This window comes from Homo sapiens, chromosome 19, assembly GCF_000001405.40.
Source record: "Homo sapiens chromosome 19, GRCh38.p14 Primary Assembly".
Classification (NCBI taxonomy): Eukaryota; Metazoa; Chordata; class Mammalia; order Primates; family Hominidae; genus Homo; species Homo sapiens.
This window is the reverse complement of record NC_000019.10, coordinates 46,204,256-46,224,648: the sequence shown is the minus strand read 5'-3', so window position 1 is coordinate 46,224,648 and position 20,393 is coordinate 46,204,256. Positions and strand designations below refer to the sequence as shown.

The 20,393-nt window shown below is 49.0% G+C and overlaps 1 protein-coding gene, 1 long non-coding RNA gene and 1 pseudogene across 14 annotated transcripts in view, besides 3 other annotated features; all 3 read right to left on the bottom strand.

Moving 5' to 3' along the window:
- Positions 4,683–5,314, bottom strand: RPL12P41 (ribosomal protein L12 pseudogene 41; annotated as a pseudogene).
- Positions 9,287–20,393, bottom strand: part of IGFL2 (IGF like family member 2) — a 136,850-nt gene continuing 125,743 nt past the window's right edge. For 3 of the 13 annotated variants that reach the window (XR_007066610.1, XR_007066611.1, XR_002958269.2), the window contains 5 exons: positions 19,729–19,844; positions 15,480–15,717; positions 14,380–14,487; positions 11,639–11,859; positions 9,811–10,852 (listed from right to left, as the gene is read on the bottom strand). The gene's annotated coding sequence lies outside the window, so the exon portion shown is untranslated. Of the gene's footprint in view, positions 12,534–14,379; positions 14,488–15,479; positions 15,718–19,728; positions 19,845–20,393 lie in introns of all 13 variants that reach the window. The other 10 variants (XR_002958257.2, XR_007066607.1, XR_007066612.1 and 7 more) reach the window with 8 other exon arrangements.
- On the bottom strand, positions 9,811–14,407 carry LOC93429 (uncharacterized). The gene is made up of 6 exons (NR_027003.1): positions 14,380–14,407; positions 12,971–13,040; positions 12,415–12,533; positions 11,639–11,859; positions 11,166–11,320; positions 9,811–10,852 (listed from the first exon to the last, which is right to left on the bottom strand). It is a non-coding gene; the product is annotated as an uncharacterized LOC93429 (long non-coding RNA).
- Positions 12,384–13,262: an enhancer, noted in NCBI's record as "H3K27ac-H3K4me1 hESC enhancer chr19:46714644-46715522 (GRCh37/hg19 assembly coordinates)". NCBI's record gives its function as "activates a minimal SCP1, AML or CMV promoter by ChIP-STARR-seq in naive H9 embryonic stem cells {active_cell/tissue: H9 hESC(naive)}" and the evidence as "EXISTENCE:reporter gene assay evidence [ECO:0000049][PMID:30033119]".
- Positions 12,384–13,377: a biological region, named in NCBI's record as "Sharpr-MPRA regulatory region 8129".
- Positions 13,083–13,377: a silencer, noted in NCBI's record as "tiled region #8129; HepG2 Repressive non-DNase unmatched - State 10:DNaseD, and K562 Repressive non-DNase unmatched - State 7:EnhWF". NCBI's record gives its function as "represses a minimal TATA promoter and a strong SV40 promoter by Sharpr-MPRA in HepG2 and K562 cells {active_cell/tissue: HepG2 | K562}" and the evidence as "EXISTENCE:reporter gene assay evidence [ECO:0000049][PMID:27701403]".

Sequence of the window (20,393 nt, the reverse complement as noted above, 5' to 3'; positions counted from 1 at the left end):
CCTTTCTTCTTGCCCAGAGTTCCCAGAATCACTGTAGAATGCACTAGAAGTGCGTGTTAGTTCATTTTCATGGTGCTATAAAGAATGACCTGAAACTGGATAATTTATAGAGGAATGAGGTTTAATTGATTCAGTTTTTCATGACTAAGGAGGTCTCAGGAAATGTACAATCATGGCAGAGGGTGAAGGGAAGGCAAGGCACATCTTCCATGATGGCAGGAGAGAAAGAGAGGGAGCAGGGAACTGCCACACACTTTTAAGCCATCAGATCTCGTGAGAACTCGACCACTATCATGAGAACAACAATAGAGAAATTGCCCCCATGATCCAGTCACCTCCCACCAGGCCCCTTCCCTGACACATGGGGATTACAATTTGAGAGAAGAGTTGTGTGGGGACACAGAGCCAAACTATATCAGAATGCACCATCCTAAGAAAGGAGGAACTGCCTGAAAGTGCCCGGGCTTCGTTTCTATTCTTCCCAGAGAATGCAACAACTTGAGCTACAGAGAAACTGCCCAGGACAGCCCTGGCCTCATTCCCATCCCTTCCAGAGGGGGTCTCCTGTAACACTAGCCCAGGACGTGTCCACCACATATAAAACCCAGAGCTCACTGCTGAGTCCTCAGCTGTGGTGCAAGTGGGGCAAGCACGGGAGACTCTATCTGCCCTGGGCCGTGCTCCTGAGCCTCGGGGGACCAGTGAGTCATGCAGCCTAGGCTTCCGCTGTCCCTCGCTGCCTGTCTGTAAGTAATTAACCTGCTTTGTCGAACTGGCTGTGGCTGTGGGTGTTCTGTTCACCACGCTCAGTGTAGTCAGAGTGCAGCCCAAGATGCGGTGGCTGAAGTGTTCAGACCCCTATTCCGGGTGGTTAGCGCAGTGGTGACCTTTGCCATCCTCCCTGCAGTGGGAGTCCTCCCTTGGGATTGGTAACTCATGAGTGCTGCAAATTTGGCAGAGTAAGGGGGGTCCAGTCTGATGAACCCATGGCTTACCAGGTGTGCTGTAATATGAAAATGTGTGTTCTTTGGCCCTCTTCCTATTATGATGCTGAACTTGGAACATCCTGAGTGACAGGAGTGTCTTTTGTTATTCCTAATGAGCCTCTTTCAGATCACACAGCATTAGCTCATGCTAAAAATATGACTTAGGGTAGGGTCTCCAGGTAGCCTCAGCATCACGGCAGTCACCAGAAGAAAGACCAAAAGATCTGAGGATTAGAGGGAAGGAACCTTCGGTGTCACCCACTAACCTCCAAGAAAGGTGATGATGGGGAGGCGATAAAGACCAAAGTATAAAAACTTTTTTTTTTTTGAGACAGAGTTTTGCTCTGTCACCCAGTCTGGAGTGCAGTGGCACGATCTTGGCTCACTGCAACCTCCCCCTCCCAGGTTCAAGCAATTCTCCCTGCCTGAGCCTCCCGAGTAGCTGGGATTACAGGTGCCTGCCACCACGCCCGGCTAATTTTTGTATTTTTTAGTAGAGATGAGGTTTCCCCATGATGGCCAGGGTGGTCTTGAACTCTTGACCTCAGGTGATCCACCCGCCTTAGCCTCCCAACGTGCTGGGATTACAGGTGTGAGCCACCATGCCCAGCCTAAAAACTCCTGAACAAGAAGAATTGAACTTCCTGGCTGCTGAACACATGGAGGTGCTGAAAGGATCTGGAGTCCAAGGAGGCCATGGAAGCTCCCACCATACCCATCGCTTCCCCTGTCCACCTCCCCTTATGAGCCTCGGTGAGAAATGGTCTTTCTTCTCAGTGCACCCGAGCTACAGGCAGGCCCTAAGCAGGAAATATAAGTGATCAGATTGTGATTCAGGAAAGTCCGTGTGTCCTTCTGTTGGGAGGAGGCTGGTTGGGAGGATTGAGATGGGAGCAGGAGACCAGGCAGGAGGCTGATGGAGCAGAAATACTCATGCAATTTCCAGAGTCCTGCAGGCCCACTCGCTCTCATGGGTGGATGAGATAAGCACTCACATCCCCGACCCCATTTCTCACTCTCACTTCTGGCCTCCCCTGTCCTGCAGCTGCAGGGTAGAGCAGTGATCTCCAACATGGGGATTGTGACACTTCTTCAGGTTGTGAACCAATTTATTTGTCACCATGGGTATCTTAGATATTAAACTAGCATCAGTAAAGAATAGAGGAATGTGCACGCTACAGTATCTTATTCGTCTGTTTAATTAAACTTTCTTTTGGGCTGTGTGTAAGCCATAAATAATGTGATATGAGCTTTTCCTAGTGAGTCACAGCCAAACAGTTACTAAACACTGGGAGGAAAAAATCCTCTGAGCACAGGTTCACCTCGTCTTTCCTAAAATCACTGGCTAGCTGCCCTGGCCTGTTGCCCCAAAAAAACAAGTTGAGAGCTCACAGCCTCAGTCCTAGGTCCTTCCTGGGGGCGCTGAGATTGGGCTTGGCATTCAGCCTGCTAAAAAGAGGGTTGAATTTAGGTCTGGAGACCAGCCAGTGCCAAGGAGAAGCACATTCCTCAGGGCAGGGTTGGGTTGGCGTCTCTGGGGAGGGAGGAGCCCAGCTGGCCGTCCTTGGCCTTGGTCCTGATCTCTCAGGGCAGCTGAGTCAGGCTGGGAAGAGAAATCAGCAGAGGGAGATGATGACAGAGCCAGGGAGTCACAGGCTGAGTGGGAGGGAGGGCAGCGGGACCAACCCGGGGCTCCGTGGATGCAAAAGCCCCTGTCTCAGCAATCCTGAGACTTTGCGGTCACACACACCTGGGTTGGAACCTTTTCTTTACATTTTCTCAAAGGGTTAGATAAGCTATTTTCTAGCAGCCCTTTCATCTCCCTGTATGGCAAGAACATTCAGTTTTGGAGATTATCAGCTTTCCAGTCCTTAGTCACATCCACTGCACATCTGGGCAGAGCATGTGCTCCCTCTCTGCACAGCAGAAAGACATTCGAACCCCTCAAAACCCAGCCCACATGCAGCAACCCTCACCATGGGCCCATGCACAAAAAATAGGCAAAGCCACCTGCCTAAGTGCCCACTTGCTTCACACTGGACCAAGCCTGAATCCTTCTTCTTGGGGAGTGCTGACACTGGGTTCTATTTTGGTTATAAAATTTATTTTATATCCATGAGCAACTGTGTGTCATTTCTCCTGAAATCGATTACAATTCCAAGGTGGGGAATTTTCCCAGCAAGCAGCAGGGGCCACTAAAACCCCATATCAAAATTCCCAAAGAAGCAGCCTGTGTCTGTCCCCCATCCCAGAGCTGCCCACTCTGGGTTGTCACTGTCCAGGGACAGTGGGCCTGAAACTCTTTGAGGACAGGAAGCCGGGCTGCACCACTCACTGCCATGTCCCTAGTTATTGGGGACCCCATCTCTTTCCAGGGTCACAGGACTCTCATGGCTTCCTTGGAAATAAGAGTAAACTCCAACTCCCATTGGTCACATTTTGTCACCCTAGTTTCCTCTATGTAAGAAAGAACCTGGCATGAGGGCCCCCTGCAGCTCATAGACACCATCTGGACGGGACTCAGGCACTCCTGTTCCAGCCCAGAATCCCCCTCAGTCCTGAGCTGAGCCCCTCCAGAAAGGCAAGCAGCCCCTGATCCCAGATGCCCCAGGCTGGCCTCAGGAAAGACTTTCCCACAACCCCAGGTGCTGCTGGGGAACCTGAGCTTCTGGAACGTGGCACACAGGAGAGCATTGGGATTTCATCCTGTCGTGGGCTTGCCCTCTGGAATAAGTGCAGAAGAGATTGAATCATTATCCTGGTGACACCTGGGTGTGATTTCCACCTGGCCTCAAGGAGTCTCTCCCAGATGACAGGCAGGAATTTGGTGGAATTTCAGATGTTCAAAAAGAATATTAGGAACGCAGATGTCACTGAGGGAGAGGGTTGGGCCTCACTAGTGCCTGAACGCCCATCCTCTGATATCCACCTGGGTGGGTGGAGTGCTCTGTGTTCCACCTGCACACTTCACGCACATAGGCTGGTCCCTGCTACCTGCAAAAAGAACTTAGGTCCCAGCCCCTGAAAGAACTGTAACACGAACAGGGCTGAAACATGACCTCCCACTCTGCACATTACCAGTAACAAGAAGCAGAGAAAAGCTGCAGCTTTTTGAGGACTGGAGACCTAGGGGTTTGTCAAGCTAGGCTGTGACACCCTCTTTGGGGCTCTGTGGTTCTTGGTGTCTCCAAGCTTCCAGGCACTGCCATGTTCCCCTTGTCCAGATGTACCACATGCAGCTTCTGCTGCAGGCACCTGCATCTGGGCCAGCCACGGCCTTGCATGGAGATGGCATCTATGCCAGCTCATGGAGCTGCCCACTCCACCAAAGCAGCCAGAGTGCTTGGCTGTGCACAGTGGCCAGACCTCATGCTCGCTTGCTGACACACCGCTCACCACTCCATGCCCGGCTTGCCTGTGGTGGGTGTGGGATCTGACGTGGTAGTGTGGTCTGAGTGCAGCCAGGCCGAGTGGGTGGAACAAGCCCAACAGGCAGGAGCAATACTCAAGGAGCCTCAGGACCATGCGACAGCCCTGAGTCTGCTGAAGTGCTAAATCTGAAAAATCCCTCAAAGGCCAGTTCTTTAGGTTTCACAGTAGTGACGTGATCTACAGAGACAGTGTTGGGGAAGTGGCTGGCAGTGTCTTTTGCCTTTCCCTCAAGATGAAACCAAAGATTTTCTTCTTTTTTTTTTTCCAGTTGCCAAATGATCCTTTATTGAAATATTTTCCTTTGTGCTTCTTAACTAGCTGGGCATTCCACAGCACCACTGTTGATGTCATATATGATGTCATGAGGGTGGCGGCCATCAACATCACAGCCCACAGACTGGGCAGTCCCCTGGATCTCTTTAATGGTTCCAGAGAGTTATCTGGCTAAAGATTGGTGCCGCATCTGTCGAGCAATGTCAACGACCTCATGAAAAGTGATATTCCTACTGCGTTTAATGTTTTTCTGTTTCTTTCTGTCTCTTGGTGGTTCCTTGAGGGCTTTGATGATCAGGGCAGAGGCAGAAGGTGCCACCTCAATATGGGCCTGTCTGTTTTGAATGTTCAGTTTTACTGTAATCCTACGGCCCTTCCAGTCACCTATTGCCTTGTCAATGTCATTACCAACCTTTTTTGGAGACAGACCCAGGGGGCTAATCTTGGGGGCCAGCGCAGAAGTGGCACCGACTTCACCCCCAGTGCACCTGAGGCATATGACTTTGATCTCATTGGGATCAAACTTCAGCGGCATGGTGGAGGCGGCTGGTGTCAGATGAACCTGGATTTGGGACGACCGAAGAAAGGTGCACTTTGGCCTCCTCCGAGCCAAAAGCTGAAAGCAAAGCCAAAGATTTTCTAGCATCCAGTTCCTACATACTAATGCCCAGGGAGCAGAGAACTACACACCTTCATTTTACTCACCTTAAGTGTCACATTTTTCTTTTTTAATGTCACATAAGAGCAATATTTTCTTCAGGTATCTTACCACAAGAACCACCACAAATTCTAAATCAGTGAGATCAGCCTTTCCATGGAGAATTCATGTTGACATCCCAGTCCCATTTTGTCAAATAGAAAGTTTCCCAGAAAATCAGATACTATGTGTTACGAAAGAAAAGGAAGTATTTAGTCTTGAAAAATTAAGGATTCACAAGACCTCAAGGGACAATCTATAAAGAAGTGAATGAATGAAGAGAAACTTCCCAGTGGCTCACGCCTGTAATCCCAGCACTTTGGGAGGCTGAGGCGGGTGGATCATGAGGTCAGGAGATCGAGACCATCCTGGCTAACATGGTGAAACCCCGTCTCTACTAAAAAATCCAAAAAATTAGCCGGGTGTGGTGGCGGGTGCCTGTAGTCCCAGCTACTTGGGAGGCTGAAGCAGGAGAATGGTGTGAACCTGGGAGGCGGAGCTTGCAGTGAGCAGAGATCGTGCCACTGCACTCCAGCCTGGGCGACAGAGCGAGACTCAGTCTCAAAAAAAAAAAAAAAAAAAAAAAAAAAAAAAAGAATCAACCAGGAGGCAGAGGATGACATTTGACTCAGCAAACAGTCTACACATGGTCTGAGTGTCCCTTCCTAGCCTGTGTGAAAAGCCTGTGAAAGATGTTTTCTACAATGACTTTGGCGATATAGGATGACAAGCAAATTTGTTACCCAATGAATAGCTTAAAAGGAAACCAGTAATGGAAACTCGTGGATGGTGGGAGGCACCTCACTCCACGCCTGTCTTCTGATGTTCATATGTTTTCTGCCTTTGCCTGACAACTCATCTACCTACCAGCACACAGCGAGGCACATGTTCAGCACCACGGACAGAGCCCCATTCATCCTGGCAGCTCGTTGTGTGAGGATGGATGCAACTTGAGAGTTTCCCACCCTGGGATACAGAGAGCTCTGGGAAATGTGTAAGAAACATATCCTGGGGTGACAGAGTCAGATCTGAATAAGAAGTCTGAATGAGCCCTCAGGAGGCTGAAATCAGGGAGTTCTGCAGGGACCCCAGGGCCCAGAACCATTGTTAAACAAACCATGTATTAGTGCAAGCAGCCTGTGTCATTCCTCCCTGAACCCTAGTCCTACAACATGAGATCCCAAACGGCCTGAGCCCTGTTCAAATCTCCACTACTTTCCAAGCCCACCTGTCCCCACTATACAACCACCAGTGGTGCGGATGGGTAGATTAGGACTCTCCCAATACAAGGCTCTAGTTGCTTCCAAAGTGGGGTTAACTTTGAAGAGACCAGAAAAAACAATGATAACACCAGCATTTTCCAATCAGCTGTAACAGAATATTGAAGAGGTTTGGCTGTGTTTTTCTGACGACCGTCAAGTAAGACCTTACTCTAGGTATCCTAGAGACATCTCACTTTCCAGTCCAAATTTGACATAAACGTGGTTTAAATAACACCCAAATTCATGAAGCATTCCATAAAACAATTAATCAAAAGGCCAGCTCAGTGACTCATCTCACTTTCCAGTCCAAATTTGAAGAAAAAGTGGTTTAAAAATTAATAAAAAGGCCGGCGTCGTGAATCACACCTGTAATCCCAGCAGTTTGGTCGAGGTGGGTGGATGGCTTGAGGCCAGGAGTTGGAGACCAGCCTGGGCAATATGGCGAAACCCCGGCTCTGGCTACCCATCTTGTGCTCTGTGTCTCTGGGTTTCCAGACAAGAACCTGTCCACTCTCTCTGTGTACCCTTCCTGCCTCTGCTATGCAGCACATTCCCAGGCCCTCCCTGGAGTATGTGCCTCCTCTCTCACTTCTCTCTCCTATCCCTCTCATCCTCTCAGCCCTGCTGCCAGGCTTCCAAATGCTCCCTACACTCTCTGGCAAATGTCCATTTGTAAGATTTACCCTAATGCTAAAATTCCTGAGAGACCTTCTCTTTTCTCTAGACCCTGAGGCTTAAGGTGAATATCACCACCAAGGAACAAACTGGGGCAAAAAATGATGAATCTAGAATGTTATCAGATTTTTAAAAAATAATAGTTTTATTGTTGCTGTGATTAGCAGTCAATTTTCAAGCTTGAACTCATTCTTCAGTGCTGCCAGCTGCCAGGGGACCCCTGAAGCCTCACACTGCCTGTGGACATGCTGTAGGGATGGACTCTCTTAGAAGGCTACATTGCAGGAAGTCACTCAAGTGTCTATGTCTAGGGCAATATCATTCCCAGGCAGTTATTAGTAATATATTCTAAAGAAGGAACTGAGGCAGGAGAATAGGGTCTGGAGACAAGGAGCCTAAGGCCAACCCACGGCTGACTTCTTGGAATTAAACCAAAGGGAGAACTTCAGCCTTTGATGGCCATGGGCCAAGCCTTCACTTCAGCCTCTGATTGGCCGCCAATCAATCTTCATTTGCATAGGATGTAACTCCACTTCAGTCTCTGATTGGCCACGCACCAAATCCTTCATTTGCATAGGGTGCAACCAATTGGAGGCCTCTAAATGGTACCCCAGGGGGGTTACCAACACTCAGAGCTCTTGAGCTGCTTGCTCGAGCCCACTCCCACTCTGGGGCATGTACTTTCACTTGAATAAATCTATGTCTTCCTCTTCCGCTGTTTTGCTTGTGATTTTTGTTCAATTCTTTGTTTAACATGCCAAGAGCCTGGACAACTCACAGTCAAGACTTTCCATTGGTTACAGAACCTTAGCCAGGAGTCATAATATCATCAGGTTTCAAATATGTTTCCTCTTCAACTATTCAAATAGTTCTATTAATAGTAAAAACTTCAAAACACTTAAAACACTAAACACCCAGTTTAGAATAAAACGTCAAACACCCAGTTTAGAATAATTTCCTGAAAGTGTTTTCCCAAAGTCCATTATTTTGAAAATTGTTTGAGGAGAAATTACATTTCATTTTCTTCCTTTCTCTGACTCTTGCATCCTTCATTTTCCTTCTGCCTGTGTTAATCCCCCAGGACTGCCATAATCAAGGGCACCAGAGGGGTGGCTTGAACAGGAGAAATTCAGTTCCTCACAGTTCTGGAAGGCAGAAGCATGAGATCAAAGTGTTGGCAGGATGGTTTTTTCTGAGGGTCTATCCCTTGGTTTATCCATGGCCAATTCCTCCCTGTGTCTTCACATGGCCGCTGAGTGTGTGTCTGTGCCCTAATCTCCTCTTCTTATAAGGACACCAGTCAGCTTGGATTAGGTCCTGCTCATATGACCTTTTACTGTAATCACCTTTTCAAAGGCCTTATCTCCAAATACAGTTATATTCTGAGATACTGGGGTTAGGACCTCAACACATGAATTTAGGGGGAGACATAGGTCATCCCATATTAATGCCCAAACAAAATTTATTACTTCACATAGTCATGCCCCAAATGAAAATTAAACAACCCAAAATTAAATAGAATTTTTAAATTTCATCATTTCTTTATTACTATTTTATTTTTTTATTTTTTTGAGATGGAGTCTCGCTCTGTCACCCAGGCTGGAGTGCAGTGGCGTGATCTCGGCTCACTGCAAGCTCTGCCTCCTGGGTTCATGCCATTCTCCTGCCTCAGCCTCCCGAGTAGCTGGGACTACAGGCACCCGCCACCACGCTGGGCTAATTTTTTGTATTTTTAGTAGAGACGGGGTTTTGCCGTGTTAGCCAGGATGGTCTCGATGTCCTGACCTTGTGATCTGCCTGCCTCGGCCTCCCAAAGTTCTGGTATTACAGGCGTGAGCCACCGTGCCTGGCCGATTTCTTCTTTTTTTTTTTACTATTAATGTTATTTTTTATGAGAGACAGCACGCCAAGTATTGCTGTAAATATTAGGATTAATTCTACTGATGTACTTCATGATCATGTATATTTTATGAAGATTTATTAGATCAAAAATTACAAGACTTAAAGTTACCACTCTTGGATTAACTGTACATTTTTAGCACTGTTTTTATCTATTGGAATATTTTCATAGCTATAGTTAGTAAAATTCACCATAATCATTAATTAGAGCCATAATTACACTTTTATAATAAATATACATTTATACTTTAACCGATGGATAAAACATCAACCTAAATATCCAAAAGGAAATTTTTAATCAAGTGACTCCTAGGAGGGTGTCTGTTCTGACGGTGGCTATTCAGGAACAAAGAGCAAATCTGAAGAAAAGGCCTGGTTCCCACTCTGGCCACACCTGTTGCCACACTGATGGGATGTGCTGATCACAGCAAGATCACAGTCAGGATAAGTGTGGGGCCAGCAATGGCCTTTCTCAAGGCACTTTGTGCTGAGGACACGTGACAGCCTGTGTGGTGTGTGTGTGTGTGTGTGCGCGCACGCGTGTGTTTGCTTCTGTTTTTCTGTGGGTAAATACATGACCCAGTAATTTCTCAAAATAATTTTATTCTTACTACATAAGATCCACTCCATCACAGCTCTTTGTGTTCTGCTTTCTTGTTTATTGGATACCTCTTCAGGCCCTGGACGGCTCATGGAGGAGACAGGGACTCTCCCCAGGTCGAAGGCCCAAGGCCTGGATGATGGGGTGGGGCCCAGGATGGGTGCCAGGGGTCTGGAGGACATGAGTGGATGAAGGCCCTGGGCTTCAGCTTCCTCTTGGTGGAATGTGGGTGATGAGGTCCGACCATGCAGCGCTGCTGTGAGGACCGGATGAGAGGATCCCTGGGAGGTGGCCGGTGACTTGGTACCGTCACCTCAGTGACTGTTCTTCATCCTCATGGATGTTCAGAGAAGACTGGTTCATTCCCTCTGGTGGCCGTCTGTCCACCAGACAGGACCGATACATCCTCTGAAAATTTCATCACTTTAGGCAATAGCACTTTCATTCTTTTCCAGTTCATCTGATGCCATTTAAATCGACCTGGTGATTCTGGGAAGCCCGGGATTCCTGTCCCTTTGAGGAGACGCCAGGTGCCATCTGTGTGCATGCGTGGCATTTGGGCGGGAACCCAGAGCCCCGACTCTGGGCTTGTTGAACTCAGGTCCAAGGAGGGATTCACTACGTTGGTGTAAGGTGCGGTCTGTGTTTCAGATTCTTGTGCCAGATGAGGTGATGCTTTGATGTCAATACCTCGCGTTGGGGGAAGGTGGAGGATCTGGACCAGTGGTGTAGGAGGCCAGGATGGGGCGGGACCCAGACACATGAGGATTCCGGGTTTCAGAAGGACGGAGCTGAGCAAGGCCACTCGGCGCACGCGCGGTGCCTTGAGCGCCTACATCCAGATGTGCATCTTCCGTGGGGCCGTCCCGGGGCGGGGTCTGAGCTGGGAGACCTGCCTCTCTCCTGCTCTCCTAGAGTCACTTAAAACTTTTTAGTTTTCCGTTTAAATGACCAAATGAGATCATTTCATGGGGTGGTGGGGGGAGTGGAGGCAGGGAGAGTCACAAACAGAAAGCGGCCAAGACAGCTGTGGGAGAGGGAAGGGGAAGATGGGGTGAGTGGACAGCCACAGATACGACTGGCACTGACATTTAGAAGAAGATTGGGTGGAACCAGGGCTCGGTATGGCTTTGGGCAGTTCAGAAACTGAAACAGGGCTGTGGATGGGGCTGACCCGGGCGCTGTGGATGGGGAATTGCTGTGAGCAATTCACGCCTGGAGATTTGGCTGGGCATGGGAACAAGAATGAGGGAACAGGGAGTTTGGGGTGGGGAGCGAGCCCTGGTGGTGGCTGAGATGGGAGATGGGTTCGGTTGGGAATGGGGTCCTCCCCTCCTTACCCAGAACACGGCTTCGGGGAGCCATTGCTCTGGGGCGGCTGCAGCGGAGTGAGCTGGTGATCAGCCGATCTCAGCCACTCCTTGTATCCCATATTCCTAGAGGAGCTGGTGATGTCACGGCATGTCTGGCCCTCCTGCAGAGACAGGCTGGGTCGCTGGGCAGTAAAGGAGCCAGGCAGGGTATGTGTCATAGTAGATTTGATCTCAGACACTTTGAGAACCCAGGGAGAAGTGGTGCACCCTCCGCTTCTGTGTCCTACATGCCCCCTCTTTGGCAAACAGGAAGGTGCAGCATGCTCCTATAGTTACCGCCCTCCCCCACTCACACAGCCACACAGTGATTCCACAGGATCCCATTGAGCTATGACTTTCTCCACTTTCCTTGGTACATTGCTAACCCCTGACATCCTCTAATCAGGTCCTAACTTCACAACCCAAGCCCATGGCCCAGGATGCAGTAACTGCTCACTCACCTGCAGCTCATGGCATTCGGGTGGGAGAGACTGTGCGACTCAGGCACCTGACTTTCACAGGTTTGGAAGGTGGGAGTGGAGCTGGCGGGACCCCTGGGACTCACACTCCTCTGGGGGCTCTTCAACTCCTTCTCTGTTTCATTAATGGTCATTTATCCAGGAGAGGTCCACTTGGAAGCCCACATGTCCCAGGCTTTGTGTCAGACACTGGTGATGCAGTGCTGAGTAGAAAATGCAAAGTCAGTGTCTTCGTGACGTTCATGACAGTGAGAGGAGAGAGAGAGAGAGAGAGAGAGAAGGTAGGAGAATAAAACTCCTGATTTTGGTTATTGTCGTTCTTGTGTTTGGTGTCATTGTCACTGTGAAGTTCTGGTGGTGGAGAAATTCCACAGCCCTCCTGAGATTTTCAAGGACATTTTTCCTTAACGTGCTTTTTCAGAGGGTCGGGTGTGTGATTTCCCCACAGAAGAGCCATCTTGGGGTCAGGACGAAAAAACAGAGGGGAAGAAGCTGTCTTGGGTCAGTTCTGTGGGCCCCTCCCAGCTTCTGCAGGATTTCCTCAGTTTGTGAGTTCACAGGCCACACCTGGTATGGACAAGCCATTCTCCCCAGGGTTATTCCCAGCAGGGGATGTATGTGGTCAGATCTGTGTGTGTGGAAGATCCTGTATCTTTCTGGGGAGCATGGACAGGGGCTTCTCTCTGGAGGCAGGCGACAAGGGAAGAGGCTGCAGCAGAAATGATCTCATGATAAATACCAGAGTGCTCAGCACGCACCTTCCCCAGGGGAAGAGCAGACCCTGCTTCCAGCACCATCTCCCTGTCTTCTCCATTGGCCTCCATGCCTTGTTGCTGTGGGGTAGAGTGTTGTTTTCCAGGACACAGATTAGGACGTGCTGATAACATGGAAAACCATCAGTTGGGCATAAGCAATGTTATTTTTTAATTGAAAAAAAAAATGGATTAAGAAATGGGACAGTGTGCCCTAACCAGAATGCTGTGCTAGATTGTTTATGACACTCTTATTGGAACTGTGTGTATTCCACGTAATGGTAGAATATCATTCTATCATTCGATCATATTATACTATTGTACAATAGAAGTAGGGAAGCTGCTGACAGCAGGAAATGCCAAGTCCTCAGAGGTTTCACATTCCAGGAACCAAAATCTGCCAGCCTGGCCCGAGAACCTGGGTATCATTCAGGAGTGTCTGTGAACAGGGCCTGTCTTCCTTTCTCAGAGAGACCAGGCCTGGGGAGTTGGGAAGCCCATGGGTGAGAGGTCAGGAGACCTGGGTTCTTGCCTGGCCTGCGTCACTGACCAGCAGCAGTACCTCAGCCCGTGTCTTGCTTGGATCCAGGAAGCGGGGTGAGAGAACAGGCAGGGCTGGCAGATCTTGGCTTCTGGAATGTGAAACCCGGAATGTGAAACCCCGGAGGACGTTGGCATTTCCAGCTGTCAGCAGCTCCCCCACTGCTTGCCCTTTTATGCCAGGAAAAAATAGAAGGAATCTCCCTCCTGGCAGATTTGGAGTGGCCTTTCCATCTGCCCTCAGGGAAGCCCTGCTAGGAAACAGGCAGGAATGAGGTGGAATTTCAGGTGTGCAGGTATGTCAGGTATGTAGAAGGAAGGCCGGGTTTCCCCAGGCCAGAGGCCTGTCCGCTGCTGGCTGACAAGGAGGAGTCTGTGTGAGTCATTTTCTCCAAACACTATGTTGGGATTTCAGAAGCTCCCTGCAAGGTGGCTTCTGTTGACCAAAGCCTAATCCCTGCTCTGGCAGGATCCTTCGTATGATGCAGACCAGTGAATTAAGAGCCTCCATGTCATAGGAGAGGCTGGAGGAGAGGCCCCAGGGTTTGCCAACCAGGAATGAAGCTAGAACAATCTGCTGAGCTGAGACTCAAGATTCAGGTGCCATTTCTGTGTCTGGAACAGCCTTTCAGCCATTCAGAGCTATTGCTTGGATGTGAGATGTTACTGTGGATACACCCAGAGACACAATGACTGTGCTACCAGAGATTCAAATGTATCCAGAACCCCACCTGCAAGGCCCTCTGGGAAGGAAAGTGTGAAGCTTCCAGCCTCTGCAGACCAGAAAGTCCTGAAGAAGTTGGCTGGATGCCAAGTGTCCACCTCCACATCATGCACACCCTCTGTGATGGTTAGTACTGAGTGTCAACTTGATTGGATTGAAGGATGCAAAGTATTGATCCTGGGTGTGTCTGTAGGGGTGTTGCCAAAGGAGATTAACTTTTGCATTAGTGGGCTGGGAAAGGCAGACCCACCCTTAACGTGGGTGGACACTGTCTAATCAGCTGCCAGCAGAGCCAGAATATAAAGCAGGAAGAAAAACGTGAAAAGGCTAGACTGGCTTAGCTTCCAGCCTACGTCTTTCTCCCGTGCTGGATGCTTCCTTCCCTCGAACATCAGACTCCACGTTCTTCAGCTTTGGGACATGGACTGGCTTCCTTGCTCCTCAGCTTGCAGATGGCCTATTGTGGGACCTTGTGATTGTGTGAGTTAATACTACTTAATAAACTCATATATATATATAAATTGTGTCCCTCTAAAGAACCCTATTAATTGTGTCCCTCTAGAGAACCCTGATTAATACACCTTCCCTGGCTCTCACTGCCCTCGACTTAGCACAGTTCCTTGGAAGAACCACAATGTCTCTCTGGCTTCTGCCTCCAATTCTCCCATCCCTCTTCATTTTTCATTTTTCCCTTAAATGTCACCCACCTTCTGGAATCTTCTTGAACACCAAGGCTGAGGTCAGTCACCTGTCACCTCCCGATAGCACCGTGGATGTTATCTGCCACGCTCTTACCATGTTTCTTTGTGGCTTTTCTGTTAAGGCAGACACTTGAGAATTAGTTCCTGCTAAGGTTTCTGATCATCAACAAGAAGGGAACAAGTCCTTCCAGTGACCAAACTGATAAAGGGCTTTATTTTTAGCTGAACCAGAGCAGAATATTTACCACCAGATGTCTGGATGTTTCTTTCCGCTCCCCCCCTGCAGCCCCCACAATTAAGTATATGCGTTTACTTAAGTTTTCATGTGTATGTGTGTGTTTTCAAGTGTGCAATTCAATGGCATTTCACAATGTTTGGCAATCATCTGTGATATTTTGAGCAAAAAAATCCACAGTCATTACTGGACTCTCAAATACATTATGGCCCAGGATAGTTAAGACCAAAGGACCAGTGGAAGGTTTTCCTTCTTCTTCTTTGCAGGAATTTAATCCCTTCCTGTGTGAATGTGTTTGTTCTGAGGAGAGGGGAGAGGTTTCCTCTGAAATAAGTCATTTGGGATCAAAGTTGAAGAAGCCACTCCCCTGAGGGAAGCTGACATATTCTTGACAATTTTTGCTTTCGCTTTTTGTGTGTGTGTGTGACTGTGTGTAACCCAGTAATAATGTCACACCTATTTTTCTTAGTAGTTGCAGTGAAAGGATTAATAAACTTAGGAATCTAGAAGGCTCTTCTGAGTACCAGCCATCCCTACCCTCTTCTAGCAGGATGCTGATGCTGTTGACAGCCTGGGCTCCTGCAGCCCTGGACATGGTGTGTCCTATGTTGGGAGGGCTAAGGGGACAAAAGGTGGGCTGTGGAGAAGAGCCTTAGTTCTTCCCCAGTGCATCTGACCCCATAGGGCACAGCTGAGAAGCAGCTCCATGCGGAAGCCCTGGAAGGGAGAGAGCTTTAAAGACCTTCAGGCAACAATTCTCACCAAGTCACCATGACAGGACAGACAGGTTGAGTGAGACACACCCTGAACACAGGGCTTTCATCATGCTTTCACTTTTCTTTCATTCATTTAGCACACACTATGCACTTACTCTGTGTCAGTGGATGCTGGGGACACGACTGTGACTTAGCTCCAGGCCCTGCTTTTCTGGGTCTTATAGTCTGGGGAGGACACAGACCCCTCCAAAAACGGTGATGACCCAGGGTGAGCAAGGCTGGGAGCAGCGCCCAGGGCACCAGGAATGGCTTCCTGGAGGAGGGCACCAGAAGACAAGCATTGGATGGCTCTGGCTTTCCCGCCTCTCTTCTTGCCCACAGTTCCCAGAATCACTGTAGAATACAGTAGAAATGTGTATTAGTCCATTTTCACACTGCTAAAAAAAACTACCTGAGACTGGGTAATTTATAAAGGAAAGAGGTTTAATTGACTCATAGTTCTGCACGCCAAGGTGGCCTCAGGAAATGTACAATCATGCTGGAGGGTGAAGGAAAAGCAAGGCACGCCTTCCATGGTGGCAGGAGAGAAAGAGAGCGAGCCGGGAACTTCTACACACTTTTAAACCATCAGATCTCCTGAGAACTCCCCCACTATCAGGAGAACAGCATGGAAAAAACTGCCCCCATGATCCAATCACCTACCAGATCCTTCCCCTGACACATGGGGATTACAATGTGAGATGAGATTTGTGTGGCAAGACAGAGCCAAATTATATAAGAATGCACCATCCTGAGTAAGGAGGAACTGCCTGAAAGTGCCCAAGCTTGGTTTCTATTCCTCCGAGAGAATGCAACACCTTGAGCTAAAGAGAAACTGCCCAGGACAGCCCTGGCCTCATTCCCATCCCTCCTAGAGGGGGTGTCCTGCCACACTAGCCCAGGGCGTGTCCACCACATCTAAAACCCAGAGCTCACTGCTGAGTCCTCAGCTGTGGTGCAAGTGGGGCAGGCATGGGAGACTCTATCTGCCCTGGGCAGTGCTCCTGAGCCCCGGGAGACCAGTTTGAATGTCCTTCTGCTGCCAAGACAGAAAGCACATGGTATGCCCAGATGTGCACTGGATGTGACTGAGGAAGGGCTGGGAAGCTGACAATATCCAAAAATTGAATGTTCTTGTCGTACAGAGAGATGAACAGTCATGCAGCCTAGGCTTCCGCTGTCCCTCGCTGCCTGTCTGTAAGTAATTAACCTGCTTTGTCGAACTGGCTGTGGCTGTGGGTGTTCTGTTCACCACGCTCAGTGTAGTCAGAGTGCAGCCCAAGATGCGGTGGCTGAAGTGTTCAGACCCCTATTCCGGGTGGTTAGCGCAGTGGTGACCTTTGCCATCCTCCCTGCAGTGGGAGTCCTCCCTTGGGATTGGTAACTCACAAATGCTGCCAATTTGGCAGAGCAAAGAGAGTCCAATCTGATGAACCCATGGCTTACTGGGTGTGCTATAACATGAAAATGTTTGTTCTTTGACTCTTGTTCCTACCATGAAGCTAAACTTGGAATTTCCTGAGTGATAGGAATGTCTTTTGTTCTTCCAGATGAGACTCTTTCAGATCACACCAGCTGAGTTCATGCTAAAAATGTGATTTAGGGGCCAGGTGCGGTGGCTCACACCTGTAATCCCAACACTTTGGGAGGCCGAGGCGGGTGGATCATCTGAGGTCAGGAGTTTGAGAACAGCCTGGCCAACATGACGAAACCCCGTCTCTACGAAAAATACAAAAATTAGCTGGGCATGCTGGTGGGCGCTTGTAATCCCAGCTACTCGGGAGGCTGAAGCAGAAGAATTGCTTGAACCTGGGAGGCGGAGGTTGCAGTGAGCTGAGATCATGCCACTGCACTTCAGCCTGGGTGACAGAGTGAGACTCCCTCTCAAAAAAAAAAAATGTGAATTAGGGAAGGGTCCCCAGGTAGCCTCAGTATCATGCCAGTCATCACAAAGACCAAAAGATTTGAGGATTAGAGGGTAGAAACTTTCAGTATCACCCACCAACTTCCAAGAAAAGTGGCAATGGCGAGGAGATAAGGACCAAACTTTATAAAAACTCTTGAAAAACTAGAGTTGAACTTCCCAGTTGCTGAACATGTGGAGGTGCTGAGAGGATGGGGTGTCCAGGAAGGCCAGGGAAGCTCCCACCATCCCCATCGCTTCCCCTGTCCACCTCCCCTTATGAGCCTTGGTGAGAACTGTTCTTCTCAGTGTACTCAAGCTACAGACAGGTCTTAAGCAGGGGATAGAAGTGATCAGATTGTGATTCAGGAAAATCCGTGTGTCCTTCTGCTGGGAGGAGGGTGGGTGAGAGGATTGAGATGGGAGCATGAGACCAGGCAGGAAGCTGATGGAGCAGAAATTCTCATGCAATTTCCAGAGTCCTGCAGGCCCACTCGCTGTCATGGGTGGATGAGATAAGCACTCACACCCCCGACCCCATTTCTCATTCTGCCTTCTGGCCTCCCCTCTCCTGAAGCTGCAGGGTAGAGCAGTGATCTCCAACATGGGGATTGTGACACTCTCAGGTTGTGAATCAATTTATTCATCAACATGGGTATCTTATACATTCAACTAGAATCAAAAGAAATAGAAGAGTGTGCATGGCACAGTGTCTTATTCATCAGTGTTCAATTAAACTTTCTTTTGGACTGATGTAATATGAGTGCTTCCTAGCAAGTCACAGCCAAACAGTTACTAAACACTGGAAGGAAAAATCCTCTGGGTATAAGCTCGCCTCCATCTTTCTTAAAAATCACTGACTACCTGTCCGGGCATGTTGCTCCCCCTCACCCCGCCCCACACACACAAAGAGTTCAGAGCTCACAGTGTCAGTTCTAGGTGCTTCGTATGCTGAGACTGGGTGTGGCATTTGGCCTGGTTTTCTGTGCTAAAAACAGGGTTGAATTTAGGCCTGGAGAGCAGCCAGTGCCAGGGAGAAAAGCACATTCCTGAGGGCAGGGCTGGAGTTGCCATCTCTTGGAAGAGAGGAGCCCAGCTGGCCCTCCTTGGCCTTGGTCCCCATCTGTCAGGGCAGCTGAGTCAGGCTGGGTAGAGAAAACAGCAGTGGGTGATGATGACGGGGCAGGGGGTGTCAGAAGCTGGGTTCGAGGGAGGGCAGTGGGGCAGGGCCAGGGCTCTGTGGATGCAAGAGTCCCTCTCTCAGCAATCCTGAGACTTTGTGGTCAAACAGCCCTGGGTTGGACTCTTCTCTCTACATTTTCTCAAAGGGTCAGATAAGCTATTTTCTAGTAGCCCTGTTTATCTCCCTGTATGACAACAACATTAGATTTTTGGATATTGTCAGCTTCCCAGCCCTTCCTCAGTCACCTCCAATGCACATCTGGGCACACCATGTGCTTTCTGTCTTGGCAGCAGAAGGACGTTCAAACCACTCAAGCCCCAGCCCACAGGCAGCAACCCTCACCATAGCCCCATGCTCAAAAACTAGCCAAAGCCACGTGTTTAACGGCCCACTTGCTTCACACTGGACCAAGCCTCAATCCTTCTTCTTGGGGAGTGCTGACACTGGTAATGTGGCGTCATCATCTGGGGTAAATACACAAGGTTCATTGTCTCAAACCAAGAAAATCGAGTACATGGACACAAGAAGTGGGTTTAGGAGCAGGGGTTTAATAGGCAAAAGAGAGAGAAAGAAGAACAGCTCTCTCTCTCTCTCTCAGCACCTGAATGGGACTTCCAGCCTACAGCAGAGTGCACTGGATTTTATAGACGGGTTTGAAGAGGTGGTATCTGATTTCCATAGGGCCCACAGATTGGTTGGATCAGCTGTGACATTTACATAGTGCTGGAAGAAGCTGACCACCCCACCCTAATCTTATTATGCAAATGGACTTTCCACTTGGTGGATGCCATGTTATCTGCTTTCTACTGTGCATGTGGTTGGAAAGGAAAAGGGAAGATGGAGCTGCCATTTTGAAAATGCCTAGTCCCAGGTAGCCTTTTCCTATTGGCACAAATGCTGGCATTCACCTGTGGAAGCTTCTAGCCTGCCTTTCTATGTCTGTGGCTTGATTTTAATGGCTGCTGTTTGTTGGAAAAGTATATGATTTGGAGGGTGCTTTTCATTAAAAGAAAAACCTTACCAAGGACTTTCTTACCTTCACTATCTGCCTAAAATAATTTCTTCTTAACTCCTATATTACCGGGTCCTATTCAGGTTATAAAATTTATTTCATGCTGGGCACGGTGGCTCACGCCTGTAATCCCAGCACTTTGGGAGGCCAAGGCAGGTGGATCACCTGAGGTCAGGAGTTTGAGAACAGCATGGCCAACATGGCAAAATCCCGTCTATACTAAAACTACAAAAAAAAAAAAAAATACCTGAGTGTGGTGGCAGGTACCTGTAATCCCAGCTACTTGGGAGGCTGAGGCAGGAGAAGCGCTTGAATCCGGGAGGCAGAGGTTGCAGTGAGCCGAGATCGTGCCACTGCACTCCAGCCTGCGCGACAGAGTGAGACTGTCTCAAAAACAAACAAAAAACAAAACAACAACTTATTTCATATACACGAGCACCTGTGTGTCATTTCTCCTGAAGTCCATTACAATTCCCTGAGGGATTTTTCCCAGCAAGCAGCAGGAGCTGCTAAAACCCCATATCAAAATTCCCGAAGCAGCCGCCTGTGCATTCCACATCCCAAAGCTGCCCACTCTGTGTTGTCACTGTTTAGGGACAGTGGACCTAGAGCTGTTTGAGGACAGGGAGCAGGGCTGCATCACTCACTGCCATGTCCCTAGTTATTGGGAACCCTGTCTCTTTCCAGGGTCACAGGATTCTCATGGCTTCCTGGGAAATAACAGTAAACTCCAACATCTGTTGGTCATATTTTCTCACCCTATTCCCTCTATGTAAAGAGCACCCTGGCATGAGGGGCCCCTGCAGGTCACAGACACCATCTAGACTGGACCCAGGTACCCCTGTCTCAGCCCAGCAACCCCCCCCAGTCCCAGGCCCAGCTCGTCCAGAAAGGCAAGCAGGCCCTGATCCCAGGCACCCGGGGGCTGGCCT